The sequence below is a fragment of the Homo sapiens genome, chromosome 18 (genome assembly GCF_000001405.40).
Source record: "Homo sapiens chromosome 18, GRCh38.p14 Primary Assembly".
Lineage (NCBI taxonomy): Eukaryota > Metazoa > Chordata > Mammalia > Primates > Hominidae > Homo > Homo sapiens.
This window is the reverse complement of record NC_000018.10, coordinates 74603114-74625968: the sequence shown is the minus strand read 5'-3', so window position 1 is coordinate 74625968 and position 22855 is coordinate 74603114. Positions and strand designations below refer to the sequence as shown.

Sequence of the window (22855 nt, the reverse complement as noted above, 5' to 3'; positions counted from 1 at the left end):
TTTTAAATTCTGATGAAATCAATGCTTTTTCTGTTATGGTTATTTATGTGTCTAGTTTATTTTCTGTCTCTACACGCTAGACTGTAAAGACATGATTTATTTTATCCAGCCATATATCCCAAGAGCCTAGAACAGTTCCAAGCACTTGTAAGGTACTAGAATGAATGAATGCCTTATTGTGATATAAGAAATGTCTAATATCTAAGTATTTACAGATGAAATTAAAAATGCCTGCAATACACTTTAAAATAGTCCAGGAGAGGGGCATGGTGAAGTTATGTGATAATGATTAAAGCTGAGTGACAAGCACATGGGGATTCATTATACTATTCTATCAACTTTTGTATATGTCTATATCTATATAGATAGATACAATGTTTAAAAAATCTGTAACAGAAGTTCTGCTTAAAAACATTTTAATGCTTAGTCTAAAACAGCAGGAACTCCCTTTCCATGCCCAGTCTACCACGTCTTCATCTGCAAACACTGCTGCAGTGCACGACTGTCCCTTTCACTAGGCACCAGCAGGAGTTCCACTTTCCAAATACATAAAGGGAACACACACCACCACATTACTTAGGGAAGACATACATACGTACGCACATACACAGGCACACACACACACACACACACATTTGCTTAGAGCGAACACTCTGTTGAGGGCATCTGACTCATATTTTTACAGACAAAAAGAATGACAACTAAGAAGCAAAATAATGAGAGCCTTAATCTTCTAAATAATGGCTCCAAGAATTCTAAAACAAAAGGAAAAAAGTTTCCACATTTGTTATTTCACAACTGAATTTCTAAATTAATGAAATAACCCAATATCTCACTATATCAAGAAATAACAACAAACATTCAACAAATAAATATTGAATGCTACCACATGAAAGGAACTGTAGTCATACAAATGTACTCATGCATTGGGGTAAGATTCTGTGGGGGCCACATGACATACACACCAAGGACCTCAATACAAGGCCATACATGATCATGTGCACAATGCAAACTAAGATCTACAGAGTATACGTGAGCAAGGAATCATACTCCCAAGCAGAATATTTAACTCAGATAGCAAAAATATCATTTGAGCCTAACCTTGAGGAAATTAAAACTGTTTGTCGTTTGTTGAGGGGGCAAGTAGGAACAGTTAAATATCTCAAGGAGAAGGCAGCGATCTGGCAAAGCCCTAAAACACAAACCACGAGCACGTAAGAAAGCTCTCAGCCATCCAGAGGGCCACGGCACTGGCTTTCTACCACAGACTGACTTAGAAAACTGGCAGCTGGTCGACCAGGTCCAGATCACAGAAGGCTCCATATTAAGAGCTGGATTTTATTCATTGGTGCCAGTAGGGAGTCACTGAGACACAGCCCTGCTTTAGGAAGATTAACTTTTCAAGACGCAAGACATACTGAAGGCAGAGACAATCTAAAGGCAGAAAGAGCTCAGTGTAAGAGTTTAAGTAATACGGTCCAGAACTAGAATGACATCAGTAAGCAGGGATGCAGAGTGGTTTAATAGGTATCTCAAAGCCATCTAGAAGGGATTCAGCAGGTGAGAAAGTTTATGCTGATGTAAAAGTTGTTTTTAGTTCACTGGGAAAGGTTACTAGAACAAGTAGCATATTACCAACAGAGCCGGAACGGGTCTTTTTTAAAGAAGAATTCAAAAATCATCCAATTGGGACAGTTTAAGGCCTCATTTTTCTGAGGCAGATTTCATGTCATTCACTCAACAAACATGAACTGAAAGCTTATCATGAACCAGAAAGCCCCTCTGGCTCTCCCCGGAACAAAGCGAAAACAGGCAGAAGACTCACTGACTGCCAGCTCTCAGAGGAAGGCGTGATCTCCTTTCCCTCTCAAAGTACCAGTGCTTGTAACCCAGTGGAGAAGTAGAATGAGCCTCAGATTTCTTCCCACAGTAAGGTTTCAAGATTGAGAAGACCTGGCAAGTATCTAGACTAAAATAATGGATGTGTTATTAAACCCAGTCTTCTTCAAGCATTACGTTTCCTATTCAAATCATCAATTCCCTTTCCACACATCTCTTCACTGTGCCACCAAGATTCCCCAAGTATCCATCTTACCCAAACACTCAAGCAGTTGTTCCTTGACTGTCAACATAAGCTCCATGTAGCTTTATTATCTTCATTTCTACCTATAAATTATTAATTCACCCAGAAACTGTCACAAAACAAAGTCCATGCTCAAACTGAAATCGTTCTCTGCCTATGATTTAAAAGAAAAAAAAAAGTTTCAATAAAGAAATTAAAATACTTTTTGAGAACAATAATAAATCAAGCGCAGCCTTCTGATGACACCTGCTGGCCGCTTCTCACAGGACGTTTCTTTCTGCATATCAAAGAAGGCATTTCGGGAAGAATTTGAGAAACAATTATTTCAGTCAAATGAAACCATTTCACACGCTAGGGCGGCATGCATGACATTTTTCCCTTCATTTTCATCCTTTTGTTCCACTTTTCACTCATTTCAATCTCTCATTTCTCTCTCTGCCTTTCTCCCTCCTAAAGAGTATCTACGAAGCGAGCTGCAGCTCTCGCTCTGCCGCCCTCATGTGCACACACCCAAAGTCACAGACGCACACGCGCACTCACACTCACACATGCAGTTTCACACATGCACTTACCCTCACGCACTCACACTTGCACTCAAACACGCAGTCTCACACTCATGCACACACACACTCACATGCACACACACTAACACCCGCACTCACACACGCAGTCACATATTCACAGACATACAGACACACACGGATTCACATTCACACGTACACACACACGCACTCACACATTCACACGGACACACACACAGTCACACTGACACGCACTCAGATACACACGCACTCACACACTGATACAGATACACACATATCTTCACTCACATGCACTCATTCACACACACATGCACTCACACACCAACTCACATTCAGACTAACAGACACACGGACTCACATTCACACTGACACACGCACTCAGATACACTGACACACAGATATATACACACACATTCACAGATACTGACATTCACACACTAAAACAGACACGCACTTGTAGGCTGACACACATGCATTTGCACACCCACACACTCATTCAGATACACACTCACACGTACTCACATTCAGACATATTCACAAATTCAGACACAGACACAATGACACGCGCACTCTCACACACAAATATTCATTCACACACACACTCACAGACACACACCACTATGGTGATGCCATAAAGAACCCATCCTCTCCCATCCAGCCCCATCACACCCTTCGCCCTTCCTAGATTCACCCAAATTCGTCATGCAGGCAGTGTGACATTGTCACCAGGCCCACAGTAACTTCACTGAGGGGTACGTGTGACAAGGCAGGTGTGCATACACACGCGTGTATGAAAACATCTAGTGGTCTTTTGTTCTTTCTCTTTGGGGAGTACAAAAAAAAAGGACGAATCCAGAAGTGATGACCGCCCTCCAGCAGAACTGGATTCCCTGCTCCTCGCAGGGCAAGGCCGGACAGGCAGGGCTGCCCACAAGCCCCCTGCGAGCTGCAAGGGCAATGGCTGCGCAAGGTAAGAGGCAATAGAAACTAGGGGGCCACTCGCATCTCTTTCTTCATCTGTCACGTCAGCTGACTTCCTGTTGAAAATGTGTCTTGCCCTTATGGTATTACCTCATTTAATAGAGCCATCAAGTCCATGCATAAAGGCAGCTTAGTATTAGTTGTAGTCACGAAACCCCATGTGCACAATCTGAGGGTAACTAAAGGGCGCTGCACTCCACCCTCTCCTCACCAGTCTCCTCCCGGCAGAAACATCCATTCATAACAAAGACCACAAAATCAAGTATCTGATCCTATGAAGGAAAAAAAAACACTCTTCCATGAAAAGGTTTACAACTGCAAGTTGTACAAACTCATCCACGAGAAGAGAGTATACAACACCCTAAAAAACCATTCACTAGATAACAGTGGAGGCAATTTCACCACGTGTAGATGTAATAGGGTCTGTCTTCCTCACAAGAGGACTAGCACATAAACACTGGGGTCCAGGAAACCCACGTCCTCACAGTCCTGAGACCAGGCTACCTTGCATTCCTAATTTACATGTTTGTAAAATTGTTTATTTCCCTACCCAGGAAAATGCCTTCGGTGGTTTAAATGAGTTCTTTTGACATTCCCTTTAAAGGATGGAGCCCAATTCCCCTCCTCTTGAGTACGGAGCTGTTTGTAAGGGACAGAAAATAGTGGAAGTGAGGATGCTGCATGCTGGAGACGAAGTTCTAAGAGACCCTGTGCTTCCTGCATGCCCTCCCCTAGGGTCACTCTGTCCAGTGCAAGCCAGTACCATGTAGCAGGGACATTTAAGCAGCTGTGGGGAGGCCCATGGGGGAAGGAAATGAGGCCTCCGACTCAGAGCCAGTGAGGAGCTGGGGGCTGCTGCCCACAGCCAGAGGGCAGTGAGTTGTCTCGGTAGCAGATCCTCCAGCTTGAGGTAAGCCTTCAGAGGACAGCAACCCCCACAACATCCTACCTGCAGCCACAGGACAGACCCGGAGCCAGAAGCACCCAGGCAAGCCCACCCTCCAATTCCTCATCCACAGACACTGAGAGATGATAAATGCTTATTGCTTTAAGCAACTATGTTTTGGCCAAATTTGTTATGTAGCAATAGGTAACTCCTAAAGGAATTACCTATTGCTTCAGGGGATGAATACCCCATTTTACAAATGATATAGTTATTACTCATTGCTTGCCTGTACCAAAACATCTCATGTACCCCATAAATATACACACCTGCTATGTACCCACAAAATTAAACATTAAAAAATAATAATAATAAAGAGATACAGTAGAGCGAGTTTTAAATTTAGATTTATATGGAAATGGAGAAATATCTTAACGTTTCCTGAAAAATCCGCTCATTTTGGATGGAGGCATTCGTTGAATAGACCCCTAGAATCTACTTAGCAAGGGGCCTGCCTCGGAGGTAACTGATCATGTGTTCCTTGCCAGCTTGGCTCAGACATTTCAGCAGCCTACAATTCTCACAGCCATAACCCCAAACCTACACAGTACACACACGTAGAGCCACAGGTCATCGGAGCCGAATGAGTCCCAGTTCTCTGGCCACTTATGCTACAGAAGCCTAGCACCTTCACCTGGCAGGAGGCCTTCAAGCTTAGGGGCCTCTGGTCATCGGATGTGGACCTGAGCAAGTCCCACCTCCAAAGTTTCCTGCATGCCACATGTAGCCTGACCCTACAAAGAACTTTCTCCAGGCAGACTGCAAAGGTACCTACCTGGAAGGCAAACAGGCTAGAACTACGTGCTCCCATGCCCAAGTGGTCAGAGTATAGTAAAATTCTCACTCATGTCGGAATAGAATATCGTTTCTATTCCAGAGGACACACATGTTATATTTCAAACATCCAATTCAATTTTGCCTGCGGGTTATTAAAATATTTCCTTAATGCTCAAAATGAGAGCTAAACAATCACCAGAAGTCCATCCTGACAGGGATCAAGCCATAGTGGCTAAAACAGAACGGGAGACCAGCATTCCTTTCATTATCAAAGACTTCCACCCAGCCAGCACTCTTCATGCAGATGTACTAACAGCTTTATAAAACAACAAATCAAATTTGGCCTGCAAAATCAGCACAGCCATCTCACCTGGCAATTTCTTTTTTCAAAACCTTCCTATACTCCAAGTACTATTTTCCAAATATATTAAATTGATCCAGTAATAAAATTAACTGTATGACAACCTTATATCAACCATCTCTGACAAATATATCTTTTGTAGTCAGAGATATTTACATAAAAAAACTAAAATGTAATATATTCTCCACTCAAAAAATATTTTTAAAACCAATGCTTTATTGGCATTTCCATCTAATTGTCTGGGTTTTTTTTTTTTAATTATTGGGATAGAAAAAAGGGGACAAAGGAAAGGAATGGCAATTCTACGAGTTAAGCAGAAAGTGAAAAAATTCAATGCCATTAAAAGCAGACACCTAGGATCGTTTGTATCTTATGCCATTTGAAAAAGGTTGTTTTATTATCAATGTAACTAATCACGATGAAACCATCTCGTACAACTAAAGACATTATAATGAATTTTCTTTACAGCTACAGAGAAATGGGATTTGCTGTTTCACATCAAATAGAACAGGCTGTATAAATTCTTCTTCCTATTTATTGTAAAATATAATTTCATCTATAAAATCAGTCATGAAATATTAAAACTGAAACAACAGAATTTATATCCTTTACTTAATTTAGTTTAAACGGTCTATTCACTAAAAAAGGTGGGGGAGGTGACATGTGATAGAGCCCCTCCTTTCTCATTAAGTTTTCCATTAGACCCTTTATTTTCAAGAATTTATAAAGCAGCCATAAAAAAGGCATTCCAAGATAAAAGTTAGTATATGTTCCTTAAATTTTCCTTTCATCTTTTTCAAAAGGCAAGAGGATAAAGCATATAACATATGAATGTCAAGGAAAGCAAAGAGAATTAGGAGAATAAAATTAAAGAAACATATAATAAATTTACAGTGAAAATGTTTAACACTTTTGAAAAAGAACATTAAGCTTCAGTAAGCAAGCCATGGTTTTCATTCCAACTGGACCAATAAGCTGTAGGACACAGGGCAACTCACAAAACTTGGCTGAGCCTTGGTTTCCTTGTTTGTACAGTTTTAGGGACTAAGATTCCTCAGTTCAATGAGAAAATATCTTTCCAATATTAAGGAGTTGTTGAACACTCAAAAAGTAGAAAAAAGTATCTTAATAATGGATTTGGGTTTTGTTCCAGGAAATACAGGGAAAAAAATAGTACTTCCAAAACGTAAATCTGGGGAAAATAAACCACTGTTCTTGCTTAGATTCACTGGGTCCATGAGAAGAGATGAAATACGACAACTAATCAAAGAACTGCAGGGGATAAAAGACAAAAACTACTAATTTTGGACAAAATCTGAGAAACACTGTAATTCTATATGCCAATAAGCTAACATATGATATAAAACTATCAAGCCTCAAGACATATGGAACATAAATTATTAGGTATCAAGGATCTGAGTTTTAAGTATATTTAGAAAAGAGAAAAACTTAAGTATTACATTTTTTAATGGATATAGTTCTATCCAAGTCCATTTGTATAATAAGGTTAATAGTTTTTTTCCTCTGCATGGTGAAATTGTAGGTAATCTTTTCCTCCTCTTCTTGGCACTTTTCTATACTTTCCAAAATATATTACTTTGCGGGGAAGAGGTGACTGAATGGGAAGCTTTAAAAAACATCTCTAAACGTTATTGAAGCAATGGAGAATAATGACTACCTCATTTTTTGTTTTTTAAAAAAAGCCAGCCCTTAGATGGAAATACATTTATGATTGAGGCCCTCAGACTAAACTCAGAATCAGAACTCCACAAATGAACATCAGAAGGTGACTTGTTTTAACAGTCAGAGACACTTGGGATTCAAATTTGGTCAAACACTCATCTGCACCAAGAAAGTTACCTATGGTTCGCTGGACCTCACATTAAATACTCAAGAATGGGTGACTGGGAAGTTGCAGAAAGGATGGCCAGTTAACAAGGAGCACACCCGGCATGGAGAACTTGGTCTTTAGTACTATGCCCAACTGAAAGCCCACTGGGAGTCTCAAGAAATGGCTGATTCCAGGTCTGGGGCAAGGTTGGCACAAGGTAAGCTTGGAGCATCTTACGGCAGAAAGTAGGGAAATGCTTTAAAGAAAAAAAAGAAAGCACAAAGACACAGGAGCCAGCTTGAAGGGGCTTCCCCTGACCAAATCTCGGACAATTGGAGCACCCAAATAATGCGGTCCCATTAAACCATTACAAGTAGGAATGAGTAAGCCCAGTTCAATGACTGAATGATAGACAGGCAGATGGAGAGATGGACGGAGAGAGGAGTGGGGAGAGAGGAGCAAAAGGATGGCTCTGTTTGTAGCAGAAGGCTGAGGGGCAACTGGTAAAAATGGAGGGAGTGCTGGAGATAGAAAAGCATACTGGCAAAGACCATATCAAGCAAGAATCATCAAGGAATACCAAATCTAGGGGGGGCGTTTTAGATTTGCAGCCAAATGTCTGCATGGTGTTAAAGCATCTCCCCATAACCTGCTTATTAGTTACAAGGGAAAAACAATCTCAGTAACTGTCCAGTGGATAAACTGGCAACACCTTGCCTGTATGATCAAAATCAACATCCTCAATGAAGAGCAGATGGACACAGTGTGTCTCCAGACGTGACCCCCTGAGAAGGGCATGACATCACCTGGTCATTACTGCAGCCAACAAAACCTCCAGCTAATGAAGAGGAAACAGTGGACAATACAAAAAGAGGAATGTATTGTTTAAAGAGGAAAGAAAAAAGGTGGAGGGAACTGCAGTCTTCAAAAATGTCATAAAAGACAGAGAAAGGCTTTATAAAAGTATATAAAGAAAGGCTTCATACAAAAATATTCCTGATTAAAGAAGGCTAAAGATACATGAATTGCAGTGCCTGTTCTCAGACTGGACCCTGTGCTGGCAGGAGGAAAATGCTATTGAGGACATTTTAGGCCAACTGATAAAAAGCACCAACGTAAATTTATAAAACTGAAAATAGCACCACAGTCACGTAAGAGAAAAATCCCTATTCTTAGATGATACAGACTGAGTGTTTATGGGTAAAGGGTCACAATGCATTTAAATGACTCTCAGTGGTTCAGGAGAAAAAGTAAAGTGTGTCGATGTGTGTGGATATGGATGTGTGTGGTGCGTGGATATGGATGTGTGTGGTGTGTGGATATGGATGTGTGTGGTGTGTGGATATGGATGTGTTGGTGCATGGATATGGATGTGTGTGGATATGGATGTGTGTGGATATGGATGTGTGTGCTGTGTGGATATGGATATGTGTGGTGTGTGGATATGGATGCGTGTGGTGCGTGGATATGGATGTGTGTGGTGCGTGGATATGGATGCGTGTGGTGTGTGGATATGGATGTGTATGGTGCGTGGATATGGATGTGTGTGGATATGGATGTGTGTGGTGTGTGGATATGGATGCGTGTGGTGTGTGGATATGGATGCGTGTGGTGCGTGGATATGGATGCGTGTGGTGTGTGGATATGGATGTGTATGGTGCGTGGATATGGATGTGTGTGGTGTGTGGATATGGATGTGTGTGGTAGGCAAGAGAGCGTGGACATGAATGAGCAAGAGTGAGAGGAAACAACAAAGCAAATGGGTAAACATTGCAACAGATGACTCAGGATGAAGGTTATACAGGTGTCCTAGAAACATTTTCTAGTTTTGTTTGTGCATTTTTTTAATAAATTTCAAATCACTTCCAAATAAAAAGTGAAAAAACAACAATCAGAATGCGGGTACAGGGGTGGAGGGAGTGGGCTGGTTTTGTACATGTGACTTACAAAGACCTCTACAACATCTCTAGAAACTGTCAGAAGGGTCAAAAGAATATAAACCTCCATAAAAACGACAAAGGTTTTCTTAGACCTGACAAAACCTTTACTCCACTTAGCAGTTCTTAGTCACCATGAAGACATCCAAGAATCCAAAAAGCTTTATCTTCAACTGAAGGTTTACTGAAAATTATACCTTTCCTAGTACAGCTATGTCTCTGTACTAAGAAGTTTCAAACTCCTTTGCCACTTGAATCTTTCTGTCAATTCCTGTCCACTGTGGTGCCCATACCAGTCTTAAAACAGAGTCCTGGGTGACAGATACAAACAGAATGTCACGTATGAAAGAAGTGCATGGGGTTTTTTCCCATTACTGGCAAAACTGGTTAATGTATGCTGAATTCACCAGTAACAATCACCCATTGACAAAAGATAACTGTTCCTCCTGTCCCATTAAAATGTAAACAATTAAAACTATAATAGGGGCTGGGCTTGGTGGCTCATGCCTGTAATCCCAGCTACTAGGGAGGCTGAGGCAGGAAAATCACTTGAACCCGGGAGGCGGAAGCTGCAGTGAGCCGAGATCATGCCATTGCACTCCAGCCCGGACAAAAAGAATGAAACTCCATCTTAAAAAAAAAAACAACAACAACAGTTCTTTCCCCATTGCTGGCAACCTTTCACAGATGGGATCACAAGTCTTCAATTACTTATTTTCACACATGAACAGTGGCCCCCTTCAGACTATGGGACTAAGCAAATATTGCAGTCTCATAAAATGTCCTAACTGTAATATTACTCTTCTAAATCATGAAGAACAGAAAACAGAAATGTTATATGTGGAGAAGGAAAACTGCAGAATATAAATTTTCTTCAAATCCATAATCTGCCATTCCTTTTAGATTTGGATACAGTGCTAGAACCAACCCAACAAGAATTTAATGCCCTCACTTACAACTGCTAGAATATGTTAACTTTAAAACAGCTCAAACGTGATAAAAGTTTTTTTAAGACGGAGTCTCACTCTGTCGCCAGGCTGGAGTGCAGTGGCATGATCTTGGCTCACTGCAACCTCTGCCCCCCGGGTTCAAGCAATTCTCCTGTCTCAGCCTCCCGAGTAGCTGGGACTACAGGCGTGCGCCACCACAAGCAGCTAATTTTTGTATTTTTAGTAGAGATGGAGTTTCACTATGTTGGCCAGGATGGTCTCGATCTCTTGACCTCGTGATCTGCCCACCTCGGCCTCCCAAAGTGCTGGGATTACAGGCGTAAGCCACCGCGCCCAGCCTGTGATAAAAGTTTTTATCTCACTCTTGAAAAGGCAGGTATTCCTGGTCAGCAAACATTCTGCTCCAGGCTGTGATCTAGAGATCCTGGCTCCTTCCACCTTGAAGCTCTGTCTTTGAGCTTTCTCATTCCCTGCATCCAGCTGACAGAAGAAAGTAAGCATGGAAGAGGCAGCTGGCTCATGGCCCCTTAAAAGCCTTGATGCTTAAGTGGCATCTATCACTTCCACTCATATCTGCTTAGCTGCAAGGGAGTCTGCAAAACATAACCTGGAATTGTGCAAAGGGAAGAAATGAAGTGGGTGGAGAGCTAGCCATCTCTGCCACACATCATTCCAAAAATGATCATGTTGCTTGTCATTCTGCCATTCATGAAGGCTTTTAGCCTTTACAAGACTTATGAAAACCTTTTTCTCAGAAATGCAACTGGAAAAGCATCCCTAGTGCTATTACTTCCACATTTGTAAAACAAGAGAATTACAGACAATGCCAATCATTTATAAATCTAGCTAATCATCAAAAATATGAAATCTCTAGGTCTTACTCGTCAAAGATTCTGATTAAGAAAGTTTGGGATAGGGACAAAAAATCTGTACTTTTAAAGAATTCCCTGGATGATTCTGATGAGCCAGTTTTGGGAACCACTGGACTAAAATCTCTCATAACTCTTCAAAAAAAAACGAATATCCACTGAATGCAAATTTACCAGACACAGTGCTGAGGTGAAGAAAAGGAGAGTGTGGGAAGTGATAAGTGAATCAGGAAAAAGCATGCATGCACTGTACGTAATACGGCTGTCACACAGGGACTCCAAACACATTGACCTCCATCATAATTTGCCACATAAAATTATTCTGAATGCCACTTTTAGCAAACATAGCTCTGACCTACCATCTTGAAATCCTAGGTTGTTACAGTGAAATACAGTAGAACACCACCCATATTGAAAATCAGATTTTGTACCCTGAAGATTCTTAATAAAAATTATTTGATCCCCTTTTTGGAAACTGTAATTTCTACTTACTTTTCTTTCTAAGCTATTTTTAAAAGTACATTACTACCTTAGTAGTAACCATTGAATTATAATGGTTTTAAAATTATATTTCAAATTAACATGCACTCCTGTAACTGCTATTCCTCATTTTATAAGTGATCCAATAATCATATATCAAACTCTGATCCATAATTCATGACCAGCAGAAATCACAAGTGAATTACACACTCCCAAAGAAAAAGTCTGTTGTTTGTTCTAGGTCTAAAACATGAAGTTGCCATTATATTCAATAACTGTAAAGCCTGCTGGGCTTTGGTTACATTTGATGGTTAGACTGGCATTACTCCAACTATGTTAAACAATTCTTTTCCCTATTAGGCTTCTTATTACCTTATTTGTTTTTCTTTAAAACAACTATGTGGATTTGTTTAATGGGGGAGAAAAGCACAGCATAAAAAGGAAAATTAAAGAGAAGTATGAACATCAAACACACCAAAAAGCACTGAGAATTAAAATTTGGATTTGCTAAATTTAGCAAAATGTAACTGAAACTAGAAGAGCTAAAGTGCCTCAAATCTGTTTAAGAAACCTATGTTCTGTATTTCCCCATAAGGGATCTCCTACAAGTACTACATGTGTCTGAAATGCAGGCATCCTTGCCACAGAAGGAGTCTCATGGGCTGTCAACTTCTAAGTGAGGTGCCGATTCTACTAGAAAGCATGACATTACATAACTACAAATGCTTGACAGTTCTCATGGTTTTGACAATTTCAGCACTCAGTATCAAAGAAAAACAGCAGTGCTGTTTGGCTTCACAGGAGAGGTAATTTGACTTCTAGAGTCATCTTTTTGTTTTTCCTATACATGTTAAGTTCAAGGAGTGACTATAATATGATGGCTTAAGGTTTACAGTAGAAGCAACACTGATCTAAGAAAAAGTCCCATAATATAAGATAAATATGACAAAAGAAAACAAAGTTATAAAAGGTTAGAAAAAATAGGCAAACGTTGATTCCCCAAATGTGCCCCTGCTTTTTAGCAAGAAATTGCCTAAGCAAAGAAGTATGATTTCCAGAATCTTGTGGGAGGACACTACCACTTTCTAATGAACTGAAAGATGCACTCCTTAGAAGTCACTTAGACTCAATATTCAAGAACTAAAATCAAAATGTGATTAACTACTTCTTATACTTTTAAGGGCTAGTAATCTCCTAGAATGATAAAGTCATGTATGCTAGTTTAAAAAAAACTTACTAAGATTTTTAAAAAAGGACGTAAATAAACATTTACCAGTCTTCTTCCACACTCCCATTTCTGCCTTGATTTTTGTTTTCTTCCCTCTGTCTCTCTCAGACATACTATTTTTGCCTAAGCTTGTCTTCTTCCTCTGACCCTGCATGGCAGTGACTCAGTCAGACTCCCTTCTGTGCCTGATCTCTCTGTGCCCATGGGCAAGGTGCCTCTTCCGCAAAGCAAGGATAACACTTATTAATAACGCCTACCCCACAGAGTCACTGCAAGATGCAATCTTCATTCATTTAATGGCATATAAACTCGGTATGTCACGTGTTCATATCAGTGCCTGGCACACAGTAGGTGCTCAGTAAGTATTAATAATTATCATCGAATCCAGTCTTCTTTTTCATATCTCTACACCTGAGTCTTTACAGGAGGTCAACTGAAGAGTTAAGTTCTATCACATTCCTCCAAGAACCTGTCTCTCCATCTCCATCAAATCTTTTTCACACAAACAGAAAAGTCCCTACGTAGAGTATGCAAAATAAAAAATCATGTTTGTTTTTGAGATATTTGGTATATACAAAAAACTTTTAATATGTGTAAAGGTGTTGTGCAAAATATAACAAAATCCTGAGTGCAGATAATACTTCAAGAAAAACAAATTATCTCTGATAATTTGTCCCTCTGTGTTCCCATCACCTTCCTTCTTATACAGTTATCCACCGACTTGAGTCTTGCATGTATCACTTGTTTTTCTTTATTACTTTATCATATCCATATTTCTAACAATCTACAATTTTGTTTTTGCATGTTTCTAAACTTTAAAAAAAGGGAAAAAACTGTGTATTCTTCTACAAGTAGCTTTTTTCCCCCTTGAGATTATGTTCCAGCTGCGTATTATCCTTGGTGATGAATGCAGCTAACATTCACTCAATCTCACTACTGTACGGGACTTCACTATGGGAATATGATACAATGCAGGCATCTGTTCTCCTCTGATGGACATTGCTCCCAGTCTTTCCTCTTACAAAGAGCGTGACTGTGAGCATCCTTGCACATGTCTCCAGGCACTCATGCGCATGAGTTTCTCTAGGGTAATACCTTTCATATTTTAGCATCACATTCCCTACAGGGCTTGACAGTCAGAAACCTGGCCCATCCTTAAAGTTGCTGATTCAGTAGGTCCACAGCAGAGACCCCAGATCTGCATTTCAAACAAGTTCCCAAATGATGCTGCGAAACAATTCAGAAACCACTGCTCCAAGATAAAGACTGAGTGGAATTACTGGGTCAAAGGATACAGGTATCTCAACTTTACTAGATACTCCCAAAGGCAGCCTATCACTTCCACCAGCTGTATATAAGCATTCCAGTTGTTTCCTGTCCTCCCAACAATATTGTCAGACTTTTTACATTGTTGCCAATCTAATGTGTAAGAAACTATACATCATTTTGGTCCTAATTTGCATTTCCCTAATTACTAATGAAGTTGAGCATTTTTGCATTCAAGTTTCCTCTTCTGTGAAATGCCTACTTAGGTCATTTGTCCCCTTTTCTGTTGTTCTTACTGATTTGTAGTCACCCTGCTGGATACTAACCTTTTATTAGTAATATGTGCTGAATATGTCTATTCTCCCTATGACCTGTCTGTTCACTTTCTTGATGGTTTCTCTTAATAAACAAAAGCTATATCAACATTAGTGTTGTCAAACATATTGATCTTTTCCTTTATGGTCTGCACCCTCTGTGATCTTTTTAAGACCCCTTTCCTATACCAGAGTCATACAACTACTGTCCTGCATTGCCTTCTGAAAGTTTCATAGTTTTGCCTTCTATATTTAAGCCTTTAATTGACCTGCGGTTGATTTTTGTGAGTAATGTGAATTAAAAACATACCCCACCCTCAGGAAGTTTCCTGTTTGGTAAGGACCACATGTAACTTTAGAGAGGATATCAAAAGTGATGGAATATTCATTAGGTGTTAACCATTACTTCATTGAGGTTTATTCTGCTCTCTCATTGAGACAAAAAATTGGAAAATTTCACATGAACATTTGGAAGGTTATTTGCAAACTGTAGTCAGACTATGATCCCCACTTACTACACCCCAGGAAGAAACCTTAAAAATGTCCCAAAATAGGCTGGGCGTGGTGGCTCATGCCTGTAATATCAGCACTTCGGGAGGCTGAGGTGGGCGGATCACCTGAGGTGAGGGGTTCGAGACCAGCCTGGCCAACATGGTGAAACCCCCATCTCTACTTAAAAAAAAAGCAGAAATTAGCCCGGTGTGGTAGTGGGCACCTTAATCCCAGCTGCTTGGGAGGCAGAGGCAGCAGAATTGTTTGGGCCAGGGAGGCGGAGGTTGCAGTGAGCCGAGATGAGCCATTGCACTCAAGCCTGGGGGACAAGAACGAGACTTCTCAACAAAATAAAACAAAAAAAAGTCCCAAAATATTTAAGTCCTATTCTAAAAAACTAAAGAGTTAAGCATTGGGAAAGTACAGGAAAACGAACGTCCTCAAATGGTAATTACCTAAATGGGTAATTACCTATCTGGAGGGTAAGCTGCTTGCACGCATGCACGCACAAGAGAGACCGAGAGGGAGAGGGGAAATGTGGGTTTCAGGATGTTCACCATGAACTGTAGAGAAAAACTGGAAACAACCTACTATCCAACAATGGGGGATGGTTAAAAGTAAAGCTAATGTGGCAATCCATCTACTTGAATACTGTTAGATTACACAGCTCCACAATCATGTGAAAAGATTTCACAAAATTCTGGTAACTTGCAAAAGCAGCTAACAAAATGCACGTATAGTATTCATTTATTCATCAAATATTTATGAGTGGCTTGTGTATTGCAGGTCCCAAGCAAGTCACTGGAAAACAAAAAGAGACTTGTTCCCTGCCTCCAAGAAGCTTACAAGCCTGTGAAGGATATATCCAATATGTTTCTTCCAATGTGCTCCGGTTGGGACAATAAAGGCATATGTGTTTTGAGAATAGAGACAATTTATATTATATAAAGCATATATAATATATACAGCAATGTCATCCACATGATCTACAAATAAAACATACCTACCCAGCTCTAGGAACCACCAAATGGATAAGCCACAGGATACTTAGGGTGACTACCCTCTGATGAACTGAAACACAGTCATGCACTACCTAATGATGTTTTGGTCAACAATGGACCACATACATGATGATGGTTCCCTATCATTACAACGGAGCTGAAACATTCCTATTGCCTAGTGACATCATTTAGCTGTTGTAATGTCTTAGTACAACACATTTCTCACGTTTGTGGTGATGCTGGTGTAAGCAAACCTACTACACTGCCAGTTATACAAAAGTGTAATCTCCTAGGCCTTCGCATTCTCTCACCACTCACTCACTGACTCACCCAGAGCAACTTCCAGTCCCACAAGCTCCATCATGGTAAGTGCTCTAAACAAGTATACCTTTTTTTTATCTTTTATACCATATTTTTACTGCACCTTTTCTATGTTTGGATAGATTTAGATACACAAAATACTTACCATTGAGTTACAATTGCCTACAGCATTCAGTACAGTAACATGCTATATGGGTTTGTTGCCTAGGAGCGGTAGACCACACCATATAGCCCAGGTGTGTAGCAGGCTGCACCATCTAGGTTTGTATACTCTGTGATGTTCACACAACAATGAAATCACCTAGAGGCATTTCTCAAGAATGTATCCCCCCTGCACAGGTAGGGAAAGTCATTCACTGGAAGACAAATGTGAGACAGAGTGCAGAACCACAGCAAAAGAACTGGACAGCTTCCTCGGCTGCCAATTCAATACTGATTGATTGACGGAGATCAGCAAATGCATGTACTTCCAACAGCTTAAGCCTTTACCTCTCCCCTGCTATGTTTGGTTCTAATAAATAATAACAAACCTTCTCAAGATATGAAATACCCCACAGTTAAAGTCAAACTCAAAAGATTCTGATATTATGTTCATTTGTTTCAAACTTTCTGCACCAAAATCAAAAAAAAAATGAGTCATTAATCACAAAGAAAAAAATGTTTAACCTCACAGTACAAAAACCTGACACGTCATCACCTCAACCAAGAGATCAAAGTTCACGTTCACCAGAAGAAGACATATCTATATCACATACCTCCTCATATGATGCACTGAGAAGGACATGATTTCACCCCTGTGCTAGTATTCCCACCAAAAATGCCTAAACCTCAATTTAACAAGAAAGAGCATCAGACAAATCCAAACTGAGGGACATTCTACAAAATAACTGGCCAGTATTCTTCAAAAGTATCAAAGTCATGAAAGACAAAGCAATCTAAAGGAACTGGCCAGGCGCGGTGGCTTACACCTGTAATCCCAGCACTTTGAGAGGCCAAGGCAGGCGGATCACTTGAGGTTAGGAGTTCAAGACCCGCCTGGCCAACATGGAGAAACCACGTATCTACCAAAAACACAAAAATTAGCCGGATGTGGTGGTGCACTCCTGTAATCCCAGCAACTCAGGAGGCCGAGGCAGAAGAATCGCTTGAACCAGGAGGCGGAAACTGCAGTGAGCCGAGATGAGCCACTGCACTCCAGCCTGAGTGACAGAGCAAGACTCTGTTTCCAAAAAAAAAAGAAATCTAAAAGAACACTATCACAGACTGGAGAGACCAAGGAGACATAACAAAATACAATGTGGGATACTGGGTTGGATCCTGGACCAGAAAAAAAGGATATCAATGGAACCATTGGTTAAATTCAAATAAATGTTTTAGATTAATTGTTACCAATTGCCTGGTTTCAATGATTGTATTATGGATACATGAGAACAACAGGAGATGCTGGCCAAAAGGTATATACATAGGAACTTTCTAGACTATTTTTGCAATTCTTTTTTCTAAAATTATTTCAAAGTAGAAAGTTTTAAAAAGTCATTTCAGATGAAAGATAAAAAGACAAAAGGGAGGGATTATTGACTCTAACATAAAAATATGCTATCTCTAACTTCTGTGCTAAAAATGTTCAATAACTACAAATAAGGATTAAGCTGGAATAAATAAATTACAATTGTTCAGGAAGAGCCTGTGATTGGGATACTCTAGAGAACAGAGTAACTCTCCAGGGCACTGAAGTCTTTCCAGATAAATGACCTATGTTATTTCCCCCTTACTCTTTTAATCCATTTCAACTCATTTATTTGTCATCTACTATGTGCATGTAAGTGTGCTAGGGCCTGATGAGATTTTTATATATAAGAAGGGATTATTTAAGTACACAAAATAACAAAGAAAAGTACAGAGTCACAAAACCAGAACTAATTTTTCACTCCTATACACTCTAGCAATCAATCTGGACACCCTTTCACAGAAAACGTTGCTAAGACTGGGCCTCACAGCACAAACCCAGCCCCGTCAATGGCCAGTGGTCGTGACAAACAGAATTAGCTCCAAATTTACGACTGAAAATGCCACAGTGACTCTGTGAGAAATACTCCATTTCTTTTTTTTTTTCCCCCATCTAATCACTATGTGCATTTCTTTTTTCTAACATAAAATTAAAGAACTAGATTATCCGAGTACTAGGGAAAAGGTTAGTCTGGTATAAACCTGGGAAGGTTTACTTAATCTCCTCTTACAAGCGGCCTGAGAGATCAACGCCACATCAGGTGATGCTGAGGCTACAGAAGTGTGGTCTCAGGACTGGCAGCTGCAAAGTCACCCCGGGAACCTGTGAGAAATGCAGATTCTTGAGCCCCAGCCCTGGCCTGCTGAGCCAGTTTCTGGTTGATGCCCAAACCCTCTGGGTGACTCCGATACACATTAGGATTGAGAACCACCAATGGAGGAGCAAAAAGACCAGCCATGAATCAAGAGGCCTGCTTCTAATCCTTGTTCTACAACTAATCTCTGAGACTGACGAAACACCTGCCTCCTGTAGGGCACAGCTTTCCTAGTAGACGATGAGGAGTCGGAATAGGGTTGCCACAATCCTCATTCCCTCTAAAAGGTGATAACCCTACGGTAGCAGTCATTCCTCTAAGGCCTGAAAGTGAAAAGACCACCCCTAGTATTTCACCAGATGTTTCTCTCTTTCATCAAAGTGAAATAAGTAAAATTTCCTCATCAACTAGTCTCTGAATTACACCGGATATATCTAAAATTATTTCTTCTATTTTAAATAAAATTGCATTTACTTTGCTTTAGCTAACGCCATCTAAACTCTAATTTAACCATTTCTCCTATTTAATTCTATATCAAGTCTACTTTGAAATAATTCCAAAAATTCCAAGAAAACTGACACTCAAATGTCTCCTCAGGTGTGCCGACATAATAAACTCCACCACAGTTCAGGACTGTGCTCTGTGTCGTCACATAAAGAATATGTGTGATGACATCACAAGAAATAAAACAAGTATGAAAATCAAAGAATTTTTACATGTTTAGATCTAGGCTGGGTGCAGTGGCTCACACCTATAATCCCAGCACTTTGGGAGGCTGAGGCAGGAGACATTGCTTGAGTCCAGGAGCTCGAGATCAGCCTGGGCAAGACCCCGTATCTACTCAAAATATATTTAAAATATATTTTTTGAAAAATATATAAATGTAGGTATCTCCATTATGTCATAAGAAACTGGTTCTTTCCAGATTTTCTTCATAATAGTTCTAAAAAGCACCTTTCCAGATAGAATTCAGCATTACACACATGATGAGCTTCAACCTGAAACTCATTACAAATCAATTGCTGCATTTTTTTCACATAGCAGATTTCCAAATTTTATTTTTAAGATCACCATGTAGCTATTAAATACAAAAATGATCTCCCAGAAGTTTTTCACCTGTTTCCTTAAACTGCTCTCATTTATTTTCTGGAAAAGCTCTTCATGTCCACATCAAGCCCAGGCCCAGGCCCGCCGCTAGTGATCCCTGACAATCTGAAGGGTTAGGGCGCTTTGGCGTGAAACCATGGCCTCTTTCCTCTCCAAAAGTTCACAGAAACATATTATTCTGCAGGTAATTTCATCGGGCTTAGGAAGTCAGGAAAAGCTCTGATGAAGAACCCAAGGACCGCAGTCTCCACCGACGGTCCAGGAACTAGAATCTCCTTGCTTGTCACACTAGTCCAACACTAACACACACAGACGTGGGCTGGGTTTTTGCTGGTTTGGCTAGTTAATGACGTACCTTTCTAGTATACCAATGTGTGTCCCACAATTATATCTTACTGGGTTCATAATAAAGTTAATTTTTTAAGTTTAAAAAAATGTGGTTTTCATAGAAATCCTATAAAAAGTTATATAATTCCCTACTTTCTTAACATGTATATAGAATATAATTTCATATTTTCTTGACGATTCAGGGTAACAACTGCTGTGCTGGACAGAAAACCTTAACTGCTATGTATGAGGAAACAAACTTCCTATGATTTTTTGATTTTTTAATTTTTTATTTTTTTCAAACTCCGTATTATGCTATGTGCTTAATTCATGGCATGGGCAGTACTGTTCTGACCACTGCTGGATAACAGCTATAACAGAGTGAGGGCTGGCTTTGTCAGCTCCTGGATGAAGACTTATCCACATTCCACCAATTAGCACTCACACAAAAGCTACAAGATAATACGCATTTCATAGTGAAGTTACTGAGGCTCAGAGAGATGAAGAGACTTACCTGAAGTCACACAGCTAGGAGCTGCAGACAGCAGATGCAAGGCCCATGCTTCCCAGTCCTTATAAGATTAGGAAATGGACTGGAGACCTCACTAAGTAGCTGGGGGTGAAGGAGGTGCTCTTCAAGACTGAAGTCACCGCCGGAATGTCTCTTACCCTAGAAATGGCCCCGGGAAGGCAGACCCCAAATATCAAGAGAATGCACTCCATTTCTTTCTTGGTGTGGCAAACGGTGAGTGAAAAGGTTAACAAAACCCTTTCCCTGATACATGAAAATTAGACTGTTAGTTAAACCATCTGGCTCTGTTCCCTCTGGTAACCTAATAAGGGTAAGAATGTCAACTATGCCACTAAGCGAAACTGCTTACTGTAAGAATGGCCCAACTGGTAAACTGCATCCAGACTTTGATGAACTATGCATGAACTATAAATATCTGATGGGGACACCATGCTTCGGGTGCCCTTGGGATGCAAGGACTCTTACACATGGTGAGTGTCCCATAAATGAATAAAATGTAGTATATACCTCAAAAGATTTGGGGGGATTACATGATGTATGTACAGAGGCATCTGGCACAGTGTTTATATAAAGAACTCAAAAACATTATTATTGTTACTTCCATTGAATTCTGTGTTTATTTATTATCCTCTGCCAAGGATCCTAGAAGCTAAGCCTATGGAATGTTCAAAAACACTTGCTCCCTATGGGGCATGAGATTTCAAAGATAAGGCTGTGTCTACATCCATGATGTGGCTCTCATGTCCCTGCACTGAAGCAGCCACCTGGAAAGACAGTGTCTGCACAGCTGTGTAGACAATTGCAAGGACCACCCCTGAGAGAAGATCTGACACTTTGGGCTGGCAAGCTGTGGCTCTTGTTCTTCCCCTTCTTCACAGACTGTTCAAGTGTGGCCTATGGAGGTCTGGGAAGTGTGAGTTAAACCTAAGACCCCTGGTGGACATAGCAGACAAGCAAAGGATCAAAATGCACATGAGGAAGCTTCTGGGATAGGGAGAAGGGAACTTGCCACACGGATGCAAACCAAAAGCTAACAAGGAGAAAAACTAGGCAAGGACCCATCTAAAGAACTTCATGGAATTCCCTGAATCCCAAGAAGCAAAGGAGCTACAATGGAATCAAACCTTGTACTTTGTGAGGAGGTGACCTCTCTTATCTCTTCATCCACCTCTTCCTTAGTGACCAAGTGAACTTCCATGGTTTTCATTCCCATCCACTAATGATGATGCCTAAATTTTTATCTCTAGCCAACAGCTCTGTAGGTACCAGACCCCTAAGTCCATTTGGATGTTACATGCACTCATCAACTTCCCCCACAAACTTACTCCTTTTTCCTTTGTTCTTTATGGCAGTAAATAGCTTTACAACCCATCAAATCACCCAAGCCAGAAATCCTTAATGTCCACTAATAAGATAATGTTTAAATAAGCTAATATATCCATAATAGAAAATATTACATAGTTGAGGTAACACTGGAAGCTCATCAAGACATCCTGTTCAGTCTGAAATTACTTAACAGTGGTTACCTATGGAAAAGTGCCTGAAATCAGGGAGAACTTATTCTCTCCAGTGCTTGAATGTTAAAACAAAAACCAACAACTACCAAAAAAACAAAAATGCTTAAGAATAAAGAAAGATGTGGAATGAATCTATTGTTTCACAGGCGTCAATGGTGTCTCACCAACAGACTGAGCTTCTAGGAGACCTAAGCCTAAGCTACTTCCTCGGTACAGAATTTATGAAAGGTGCCTTTCAGGTACTGATTACGTGGCCTGCCTTACATGGTTGGGCTTTACTGTCAGAACTGCTTCATAGAGAGAAGATACTGTTGTCATTTGCTTTGCTCACATTAAAAGAATGGGCACTTTCAAACTCAAGAAACTGTTAATAGTGATTGTCTCTGGAGAGCAGCCCTAGAGTCTGAGGCATCACTGTACTATTTGCAATTTTTCGTTGTGTGCATGCATTGGTTTTTCAATTGTAAACAACTAAATAAATAACTGAAGGGCAGGGGGGACTTCCTTTCCTCTGAGAAGTCTCCCTAAACCTTCTTCCAAATTAAAGCAAGATTCCTTATCATCAACTCTCATAGCATCTGTGCAGCACAGTGAGTGCTACAGGACTCAAAACTTTCTTTAAATAAATGCTAAGACATGACCAAATGCATGAACCTATTACTGGCTCCCCAATGC

The 22855-nt window shown here is 40.3% G+C and overlaps 1 protein-coding gene across 6 annotated transcripts in view; it reads right to left on the bottom strand.

The window, feature by feature from the left end:
• Nucleotides 1-22855, bottom strand: part of ZNF407 (zinc finger protein 407) — a 467802-nt gene that overhangs the window by 439703 nt on the left and 5244 nt on the right. The window contains exon 1 of one of the 6 annotated variants that reach the window (NM_001384475.1): nt 20646-21772. The exons of the other annotated variants lie outside the window; for them this stretch is intronic. The gene's annotated coding sequence lies outside the window, so the exon portion shown is untranslated. Of the gene's footprint in view, nt 1-20645; nt 21773-22855 lie in introns of those variants that run through there. 6 annotated transcript variants of the gene reach the window in all.